An 11,571-nucleotide genomic window follows, 5' to 3' on the forward strand; every position below is an offset into this window, starting at 1 on the left:
CACTTTTCTTTCAACACTCTAAATGTGCCATCTCATTCTCTTCTAACCAGTAAAGTTTCTGCTGAGAAGTGTGCTTTTAGTCTGATGGGGTTTTCTTTATTTTATAATTACTTCTTTCACTTTCACTTTAGATATTCATCATGTGCCATGATGAAGTCTGTTTTGCAATGTATTTTGCTGGTGATTGCTGAGCTTCCTGTATATGTATGTCTAATTCTATTGGTAAAGTTGGGAAGTTTTCATCAATTATTTTCTTACATAGTTGTTCTAAACTTTTTGATGTGTTTTATTTCTCAGAAACACTGATAATTTTTAAGTTTATTCACTTTAGTCGCAAACATCTCACAGTCTTTGTTTATTCTTTTCTCCTTATTTTTGTCTGAGTAGATTTTTTATAAAAACCTCTTTGATGGCAGTCTTACACTGCTAGGGTCATCAGAAAGGAAAGGAAAGGGAAATAGAAGGGAACCGCCAAGTGGGTATTGAAGCAAAAAGAGCTACAAGGCAGGACCCTCCATTAGAAATGCTTATAGAAGGACCACCTAGTATGGGCTAATCCCCTCTGGGAAACCAAGCCCCAGTACTCAGCAGAAGAAATAGAATGGGGAACCTCATGAGGACATAGCTTCCTCCCCTCAGGATGGCTAGCCACCAAAGAAGGAAAAATACTTTCACCTGCAGCTAACCAATGGAAATTACTTAAAACCCTTCACCAAACCTTTCACTTAGGCATTGATAGCACCCATCAGATGGCCAAATTATTATTTACTGGACCAGGCCTTTCCAAAACTACCAAGCAGATAGTCAGGGCCTGTGAAGTGTGCCGAAGAAATAATCCCCTGCACTGCAGGCCATACATTTCAATCCCTGTATCTTTAACCTCCTTGTTAAGTTTGTCTCTTCCAGAATCAAAGCTGTAAAGCTACATTCTTCAAATGGAGCTGCAGGTGCAGTCCATGACTAAGATCTACCACGGACTCCTGGACTGGCCTGCTGGCCCATGCTCTGATGTTAATGACATCGAAGGCACCCCTCCTGAAGAAATCTCAACCGCACAACCCCTACTATGCCCCAGTTCAGCAGGAAGCAGTTAGAGCGGTCATTGGCCCACCTCCCCAACAGCACTTGGGTTTTCCTGTTGAGAAGGGGGACTGAAAGACAGGACTAGCTGGATTTCCCAGGCCAACTAAGAATCCCTAAGCCTAGCTGGGAAGGTGACCGCATCCACCTTTAAACACAGGGCTTGCAACTTAGCTCACACCCGACCAATCAGGTAGTAAAGAGAGCTCACTAAAATGCTAATTAGGCAAAAACTGGAGGTAAAGAAATAGCCAATCATCTATTGCCTGAGAGCACAGTGGGAGGGACAGTGATCGGGATATAAACCCAGGCATTCGAGCTGGCAATGGCAACCCCCTTTGGGTCCCCTCCCATTTTATGGGAGCTCTGTTTTCACTCTTAAATCTTGCAACTGCAAAAAAAATCAAAAAACAAAACAAAAGAAAAAAATCCTCTTTAAAGGTCTGAAAATTTGGGCCATGCACGGTGGCTCACACCTGTAATCCCAGCACTTTGGGAGGCCAAGGTGGGTGGATCAGCTGAGGTCAGGAGTTCAAGACCACTCTGGCCAGCATGTTGAAACCCCGTCGCTACTAAAAATACAAAAATTAGCTGGGCATGGTGGCAGGTGCCTGTAATCCTGGCTACTCAGGAGGCTGAGGCAGGAGGATTGCTTGAACCCAGGAGGCAGAGGTAGCAGTGAGCAGAGATTACACCGTTACACTCCAGCCTCAGCAACAGAGTGAAACTCTGTCTCAAAAAAAAAAAAAAAAAAAGGCTGAAATTCCTTTTATGCCTGTTTCAGTCTATTGTATTGTTGAATCTTTGAATGTATTTTCTTTTTCCTTCAATCTTTCAGTTTCACAATTTTTGTTTTGGTTTCTTTTAAAAGATATCCATCTCCTTGGCACATTTCCCACTTATACTCTAAATTTATTTATTTATTTTTGATTTGGTTTTTGGGTTTCTCTCACATCTCTTTGAGCTTCTTTTAAATATATATTTTGAAGCCTTTTTAAGGTCTTTTAAAGTAATTTCAATGATTTTTTTTTCTTAGAATACTGGAGGATTATTGTGTTCCTTTGAAAGTGTCATAAACCGTGCTTTTCTGTGTTTCCTGTGTCTTTGTGTGTCTTTTTGTTGATTTCTGTACATCTAGAGAAACAGTTCCTTCATTTTATTTTTGAATTTACGTTCATTTGAGAAAGCTTTTTTTTTTTTACGTTATTACCATGATGTTTATTGCATAGAGCCATTTGGCTTTACTTTTGGGTTTGTGCATAGGAAAGACTCTGTGTAAGTTTCTCGAGTATAAATATAATATATATATATACATATATATATATATATATATATATATATATATATATATATATATAAAACCAATGTTTTACTGGCTTAGGAGTCATCTTTTCTCTTAGGTTGATTTTTAATTCTAAGTCTCAGAAAATAATTTATCTATTTTGTGTTGGTCATTGAGGGCCAGCACTCCTGACGTAAAAGGGTGAGAAGGTAGGATGGTGGTGTATGATGACAGATTACTTAATAGTTATAATGTACATTGAGTGATGGATACCCTAAAAGCCCTGACTTTACCACTATGCAATCTATGCATGGAACTAAATTACACTTGTACCCAACACATTTGTATAAATAAATTAAAAACATCCACTATTTGGGTTTGCTATCTTGCTTATTCATACATAAAAATACATTATAAATGTTTCCTTTGACATTATTATTGTTACAGGAGTTGAAATTATTTAGGCAGATAGAGCAAAAAAGTCATTGGTAAAGTTTTCTTTTTAATAAAAAGAAGTCCACAAATTATGGTTTTTTTTTTTGTTTGTTTGTTTTGTTTTGTTTTTTTTGTTTTAACAAAGAGCAGCCTGTAAAATTGAGCTGCAGACATAGATAAGCAAGCTGGAATCTTGCATGAATAAATGCCGGCAGCTGTGCTGCAGCTTGCTCTGCAGTGAACACCAAGAAATAAGTATTCAGACAATTACAGCTGAAAGGGAGGGGAGCAGCTCCTCCAAGACAGTGCTGCTTTAAGATTCATCTGCCAAGTATTTATTGAGAAGGCTAGTTGAACTACAATTTAGACAAACAAGAAACATCTACAAGGTGGCTATTTGGGGTCGGGTCATGAGGCACATATGGCCTTGTTTATAACATCTAAAAGCACTCAAACCACATTCTTAGGAGGCTGTGTTCAGCACTCCTTATTACAAATTCTATTCCTTGTCCTATTTTCAGGGTCAAGGAATTACAGTTTCATGCACAAACAACATACACACAGTGCCTCAGTATTTTTCCATGCCTCAACCTCAAATGCCTTGTACATAAGCTTGAATGTATTGTCATACACCCCTCACATTTCCCCCTTCTTTAATTCTTAGAACATGCGGATTATCCAATGCAAAGTAAGCTTCTATCATTCTTCCCTGGTCATAGTTGGTTGAGTGGCAGCACAGAGCCATTTGCAGATGCCTAAAAGATACAAAAAAGGATAAACAGTGGCTATCACCCAAATTTGTATGTTTAGCCCAGACAACCAAGTATTTGGGTTCAACCACTGAAAGTCTTGTAATAACTGAAGGGTGTTTGTAATTGCTGCAACCATCGCTTAAACTGTTTATTTAATTCACACTAACGAGTAGAAACTCGAGAAGACAGGTGGTCGCCGTAAGCCCTGTGTAGGTGTGCCTTCACTCTCTCCCAGGTATATTGGGAGCTATTATATGGCATAAATGTGACACAGATGGAATTATATTGCTAATCACAATGTAAATTTTGACAAGTAACGAATGCCTGCTGTGGATCCCCTAGCCATTCAGTGGCAGCTTCAAGGGCCTCTAGGTGAGATAAAATATTTTTATCAGTATTTACATGTTTTTGAAATTCATGGATTACATTGTATACCATGTGGTTCACCACTGAGGCTGTATGAATAGATTCCGTCAAAGAGACAGCTGCAGTAGTAGCAGTTGTTAGTATAATAATAGCTGAAACTAAAAAGGCAATTAGAGTGGCCAGAAATTTTTTTTTTTTTGAGTATGAGACAATGCTTTTCTAAATAACTGCAAGATAGAATCCCCTTTCCAGTTCCGGGTTGGATATACAGGGAGCCACAATCCTGACCACCACTTTAAAATAATGACATAGGGCCGGGTGTGGTGGCTCACACCTGTAATCCCAGCACTTTGGGAGGCTGAGGTGGGCAGATCACAAGGTAAGGAGTTTGAGACCAGAATGACCAACATGGTGAAACCCTGTCTCTACTAGAAATACAAAAACTAGTTGGGCGTGGTGGCACATGCCTGTAATCCCAGCTACTTGGGAAGCTGAGGCAGGAGAATCGCTTGAACCCAGGAGGCAGAGGTTGCAATAAACTGAGATCACACCACTGCACTCCAGCCCATGTGGCAGAGTGAGACTCTGTCTCAAAAAAAAAAAAAAAAAATCATGACATAGTTTATAATTGTGTAATGTTTTGATGAGACAAGCATGTAGCGTATCAACTACTGGAAGAGACAGTAATACTATAAAAGGATTGATTCTGTTCTGTGTTAGGAATATCCTGCGCAAACAAAAGTATATAAGGGTGTATAGCACAAATCAGGACTGTATCAGTAACATTATTGTGCAAGGAGAGGGTGTAGTTGTGACCGCTATAAATGTAATCACTTTTATTATGAAAGAACCCATTCAAAAAAGGGAAGACCTAGTTTCCAAATTTGGGTATGAGCAGGGCTTAAAACTTATTCCCCTTTTGATTGTAATATTCATCCTGAAATCCCATACTCTGACCAGGTGATGGAACTATTGGATGGAGTCCCAAATCCAATAGTCTGATTTGCAGACATGAGATATCCATGGGGTCCCCAGTCAAGTAAGGTGCCATTATCAAACAGAGGTCCTTGATGCGGCACAGGTTGTCTGCATGGGGACCACTGGACAGCCTCAAACTTATGTCGCCAGTCTTTTCTCAGATGGCATATCAGAAGATCAGGCATTTGTATAATTTCATTAGAAACCTCAGTAAGATTACTGGTAACAGCAGAAATAAAAGTCAAGTTTGCAGGCTTAGCATCCCTTTTGGGCTGATAGTAAAGATACTCCTGAGGAATGAGAGTAATACACTTAGGTGCCCATGTAGAGAAACAGAGAGGAGGATTGCTAGACAATAAAGTCAAGGAGTCATTAAGTTTAATCCATCCCAAATTTCCAGTTAGGGAGTAAGACAGGGGCATCCATCGACCTCCCATCCAAGAAGTATTATAAGATGACAAAGGCGGGTCAGCATCCCACCACATAATAACATTGAAAATTGAGGGATTCAGAACATGACTCCAATAAACATGTTCTTGAGCTAAGCCCAGTTGGCAAAGAACAAGAATTACCAGCCACCCCAACATCCATGTCTGTCTTACCTTCTCAGAAGCTCCCCCAATTACCATCAGATACATAAGAAACTGGTTCTCTGCAGTTTCAGGGGCTCCCATAGATGCAAGCCAGATAGTTCCCTGTTGGTCCAGTTTCTTTAGCTGTCCCCAGGTAATGTCAGGTGCCTTCCAAGTTATCACTGTCAGTTTTGGTCGATTCTCCAATGACAGGTCCTTCATCATCAGGAGGGGCTTTTTCAGTAGTCTCTAACTCATATTATGGCTTCACTCATTTTATGGGGATCCACTCTAGTCCTGTAGTTCATGAAATACAAACCGCACCTTGACCCCATTGCAATGCCTCATAAAGTCCCTCCCAATTCCCTGTACAAATGTCTCGAATTAACACCTTTCATTTTGTGACCTCAAACAGCTTCATCCTATGACCAATAGCCATCTGGCCATCTTATCCAATATTCAAAAAATGAAGAGTAAATAAAATTTTTGCTCATTCTCGAGGAGAGAGCTCCCATATTCCCCCCTTTTCATTTATTAAGATATGCTTTAAGGGTTTGATGAGCTTGTTCAACAATGGCCTGACAGGTTGAGTTATAAGAACTATCAGTTTTGTGTTGTATGTGCCAAAGTTGCAATGCATATAAAAAGCTAGTGCTAAGATAGCAAGGACCATTATCAGTTTTAATAGTCTGTGGAGGGCCTAAGGTCATAATAGATTCAAAAAGATAAGCAATTGCATCTTTAGTTTCTTCTCCAGTCCATGGAGTCACATATATGAGGCCCATATAAGTGTCCACAGTAACATAGAGAAATTTAAAGCATCCAAAAGGTGGATGCTGAGTAATACCAGTTTGCCAGGTAGCATTAGGTACCAGACCTTATGGGTTGGCACCAAGTCCCAATGAAAAAAGGGAGAGAGAATGCTGTTGGCAATCAGGACAAGTTTTAATAATCATGCAAGCTTGATCAAGTGTTAAATGAAACTTGTTTAAGACTGTAGGCAGACTGGGCACAGTGGCTCACACCTGTAATCCCAACACTTTGGGAAGCCGAAGTGGGTGGATCACCTGAGGTCAGGAGTTTGAGACCAGCCTGACCAATATAATGAAACCCTGTCTCTATTAAAAATACAAAAATTAGCTGGGCATGATGGCATGAGCCTGTAATCGCAGCTACTCAGGAGGCTGAGACAGGGGAATCGCTTGAACCTGGGAGGTGGAGGTTGCAGTGAGCCGAGATCACATCATTGCACTCCAGCCTGGGCAACAAGAGTGAAACTCCATCTCAAAACAAAAACAAAAACAAAAGACTGTGAGCATTCTGATGAAAAAAGGAATGATCAGCTTGAGCTCACAAATATGCAGGACAGTCTGCAAACCTCATCTGTGTTTGTACCAGAGCATCAGCTGGAGTGTTCCCTGCTGACAAGGGACCAGGTAGCCCAGAATGAGAGCGAATATGTGTGATATAAAAAGGGTGATGATGGGGACAAAGGAGCTCCTGTGTTGTGAGAAACAGGGTTAGTAGGGGTTCATTAGTAATGCCTTTTAGATGTGTGAGATCTAAATGAGTAATACTATACACCGCATAAGTGGAATCACTAATTATATTCATGTCTTGGTGAGGAAAAGTTTGTAACACCAATATTAGGGCACCTAACTCAGCCTATTGAGTAGTTTTGAAATGTTCCTGGATTTTGTGCTGCCAATTTTGCATGGCATCTTGCCACACTATAGCTGACTTTCCCATTTTCCTTGAACCATCTGTAAAGACAGTAGTGGTGTGAAGCAAGGGCTCAGAGACAACAATACATGCAAATTTAACAGGCACAGTTTGTAAAAAGTTCAGGAGCTTAGAGGCTGGTAAATGGAAACTAATATTACCAATAAAGTTGATCATTGCAACTTGCCAATCAAGATCACAGGCTAAGAGAGTATGAAATTGTTCCTTGCTTAAAGGTAAGAAAAGAGTAGTAGGGTCATATCATGACAATTGGATGCAATGTCGGCATCCCGTTGTGAGAAGCTATTAAATCTGTGGTCTTTTGTATGTGTTTAGGGAGGGGGTTACAAGACAGGTAAAGCTGCCCCAAAGGAGAAACATTTGTTCCAACTTGCCCAAGCATTCCTGTAGGACTTTGAGGGGTATTAAAGATCAAAAGATGTATAGGTCTGTCAGGATCTAGACCCAATATACACCTTTGGGTCAAGGCTTGCTCCACAGCATTAAGCTCAGCCTGTTCCAGCCAAGAGAGGTCTTGCAGTGAATTTAAAGCAGAGTCACCTTTCAGGGTGTCAAAAAGATTAAAGTAATTTGTAGGAATGCCTAAATAGGATCATATCCAACTAATCTTTCCTAGGACTCAATATCATGTATTAAGGGTTAAGTGCTGTGGAAGAATTAATTCTGTAAGTTGTGGCCTGAGGGTAGTAGATAAGAGCCACAGAGTATATAGAGCCACAGAGCCATCAGCTGGACTTTTTCTTGTGCAATAATGAGACCATATAGTGACATATGCTGTACTACCATTGCATGAAGTTGATGCAGTAATGACTGATGCTGAGCAGCTACCAAAATATCATCCATATAGTGGAAAATTTTTGCCTAGGGGAAGGATTGATGCACAGGAAGTAAGCCTTCATGTACGTAAAGCTGACATATAGTAGGGCTATTCATGATCCCTTGGGGTAGAACTGTCCATTGGTGACATTAAACTGGTTGCAGAGTATTGTAAGTGGAAACAATAAAAGCAAAATTTTCTCGATCTTCGGGATGCAAGGGTATGGTTAAAAAAAAAATCCTTTAGGTCAATTAAAATAAGAGGCCAGTCTTTGGGGATCATAACTGGAGAAGGTAATCCTGGTTGCAAAGGCCCCATAGGAAACATTACAGCATTAATAGCACAGAGGTGATGCAATAACCTCCACTTTCCTGACCTTTTTAGAATGGTAAAATAGGAGTGTTCCAGGGACTAGTAGTAGGCTCAATGTGGCCCGTGTCTAGTTGTTCTTGTACGAGACATTGGATGTGTTGCAATTTTTCCTTCTTAATGGGCCACTTCTCCACCCATAGCAGGCTAGTAGTTTTCCACTTGGTTTTGATACTTTTCAAAGGAGCAGTGGCCCCTACCAAAAAGGGGGCAGGACAGAGAGGTTTAAGCCCCACTGTTCTAGGCCATCTCATTACCACAGAGAAAATAGAATCTCTTAAGATAAAGGGCTGAACATGGGTGACCTTGCCTTCCGGGCCCAAAAGTGGAAGAATATGCCTACTTTTTAATGGCTGTTGATACCCTCCAACACCCATGACAGAACATCAGGCAGGAGAGGCCCAATCTGAAGGCCACTGTCTTTTAGCTATTATAGTTTGATGAGCCCCCATGTCAACAATTCTCATAAACATAACTCCATTAATTGTTACTTCTAAGTATGGTCTATGACATGACACTGGAGTACTCCAAAAAACCTTCATGCCTGAGTGGCCGAATCCTGAGGCCCCACAGGTCTGTTGAACATTACTTGAAGGTAAGGAGTAAGAATAATCTGAGCAAGGCAAGTCCCTTTAGAGATGGCATGGACCCCTGACACCTGTGCCATAACTTTAATTTCTGCTAAATAGTCTGAATCTATGACTCCAGAGAAAATTTGAATTCCTTGAAGTGTACTTCTGATAATCAATCCAAACGTTCCTCTGGGTAATGGGCCATAGATTCCAGTAGAAATCAGCTGGACCCCATCTTGCTCTTTAAGCACCATATCTGATATGACTGTGAGGTCCAGCCCTGCGCTGCCAGAGGTGGCTGAAGAGAGGTTATGGATGCTATTTCTGGTCCTGACTCAGAGGGGAAAGTCATTCCCCAAGTCTGGGAATTGGTGTTCCTCCATGGATTTTTCTGGGCATTGGAGGTCTTGCCCCTCTTCCCGTTTCCCAATAATGGGTTTCATCCTTATCAAATTTTGAATTTCACTGATTAGCCCAGTGCTTACCTTTGCTGAATCGCAGGCATTCTTGAGAGGGTATTTTAGGGGCCTTTGATTTCTTTGGGACTCCCTTCTGTTGGCATTCTTTGGCCATATGCCCAGTTTGGCCACAATTATAACATGTGGCCCCAGTCATCACTGCAGCAAAAGTCTGAGCCAGATAAGTTGTAAGTGCCTACATTCTGGCACGTTTTAATAAACACACCGATTTCAGTGGCAGTGGCTCAGACTAGGGTTATTGCTGCCTGACAATCCTTATTGCATTTTCAAAAGCCAATTGCAACATAAGAAGTTTAGCGACTTCAGGATGAGGTACCTGTCTTTCAATTGCAGCCTGCAATCGGTTGATAAATTCAACATATGTTTCTGTGGCACCCTGTTTAACCATCACAAAGGAACTCTGGAATTGTCCCATGAGTATCCTCTTCCATGCCTGTATCGCTAGCTGTGAGCATTGAGGAAATAGACGGCCATCCACCTGAGCCTAAGCCTGAGCTGAAGCAAAAGGCCCTGTCTCCAACAGCATACATATCAAGCTGTATCAGGATATTATCCAAATTTTGCAAGGATTGCTGCATGGCTAGATCACTGTACTCTCTCCACCACACAGTATATTCAGCAGCTGAAGCCAAAACTTTTCCCAGAGTTTTCCAGTCATGCACAGCCATCTCATAACCATTTCCCAGAGCCTCAACCATCCCCTGCGTAAAGGGTGAATGTACACCATTTTTGCAGATACTTCTTTTTAATTCCTTAAAGACAATAAAAGGCAAGCGCTCATGCCGTCTCCTATTATTTTGAACAATGACAGGGAATGCACTAAAAAGCGCCTCAGGATCTTCCTTCCTCAGTCCCTCCTGGAGGCATCCTTCTAGTAGGGAGGTTTTTTGAGGGGACACGGCCATCCAGTCATATAAATGTTCACTGCCTGGAGGTCTTATCCAAGAACAGTCCCTTGGACGGCCTCCAATCTACTCAAGGGGGATGGGAGGTGCTATTGCCTGAATGGGGCCAACAGATGCAGGTCGTGTGAAGGGTGGAGGAAAAGAGGGCAATGGCTTTTCTATTGAGAGAGGAAAAGGCTCCAGTCCGTCCTCATCATCACTAGAAAAAGTGTCTTCTTTATGCCCTACTGAAGGGAGTGAAGTTGGGGGAGGAACTCCTTCCTGTTGTTCTGCTTTCTGTGTCCCCTTTTCCTTTAAATTTTCCGAATTCCCTTCAGGTGAAGAAAATGGGCAATCTGACTCACCACGATCTGGCATATAAAGAGGGTACAACACAGAACATGCCAGACTCCAGGTGATCAAAACGGTAACATTAGTAAAATGGACCTGCTCAAATCCTCTTTTCAGGCAGCAATCTGCCTGCTCCCATAACTCTAAGTCTAATGTTCCTTGGTCAGGGAACCAAGGGCATTCCTGCCGAATTAAAAACATAAGCTTATGCAAAGCTTCAGACTCTATGGTGCACTGAATAACCTTAAGTAAATGTTGCACCGTTTTAAAAAATACTTTCTGCTCTTTGGACAACTCCTGATCCATGGTAACCCGACCCCTGGTATTATAGACGTCGGTGCTGTCCTCCTGAAAATGGGTAGGGACTGTCCCTTACCGGTATTCCCCGAAGATTGGTGAGTCATCCTACTCCATGCATAACTTCAAGGCAATCACGTCGGAGTCACCACTTGATCATGTCCGAGTCACCACTTGATCACGTCCGAGTCACCACTTGCAGCTTGTTCTGCAGTGAATGCCGAGAAATAAATATTCAGACAATTACAGCTGAACGGGGAAGGGAGCAGCTCCTCCAATGGAGTGTTGCTTTAAGATTCATCCGCCAAGTATTTATTGAGAAGGCTTGTTGAACTACAATTTAGACAAACAAGAAACATCCACCAGGTGGCTATTTGGATTCGGGTCATGAGGCACATATGGCCTTGTTTATAACATCTAAAAGCACTCAAACCACATTCTTAGGAGGCTGTGTTCAGCACTCTTTATCACACATTCTGTTCCTTGTCCTGTTTTCAGGGTCAAGGAATTACAGTCTCATGCACAAACAACATACACACAGTGCCTCAGTATTTTTCCATGCCTCAACCTCAAATGCCTTGTACATAAGCTTGA

General features: G+C 41.5%; 1 long non-coding RNA gene across 1 annotated transcript; it reads right to left on the minus strand.

Annotated features, from left to right (window-relative positions):
* Positions 1-2,844: 2,844 nt before the first annotated feature.
* Positions 2,845-11,279, minus strand: ZNF276-AS1 (ZNF276 antisense RNA 1). Its single transcript, NR_149007.1, has 3 exons — positions 11,057-11,279; positions 5,496-5,762; positions 2,845-3,552 (listed from the first exon to the last, which is right to left on the minus strand). It is a non-coding gene; the product is annotated as a ZNF276 antisense RNA 1 (long non-coding RNA).
* Positions 11,280-11,571: the final 292 nt, after the last annotated feature.

This window comes from Homo sapiens, chromosome 19 (genome assembly GCF_000001405.40).
Source record: "Homo sapiens chromosome 19, GRCh38.p14 Primary Assembly".
Classification (NCBI taxonomy): Eukaryota; Metazoa; Chordata; class Mammalia; order Primates; family Hominidae; genus Homo; species Homo sapiens.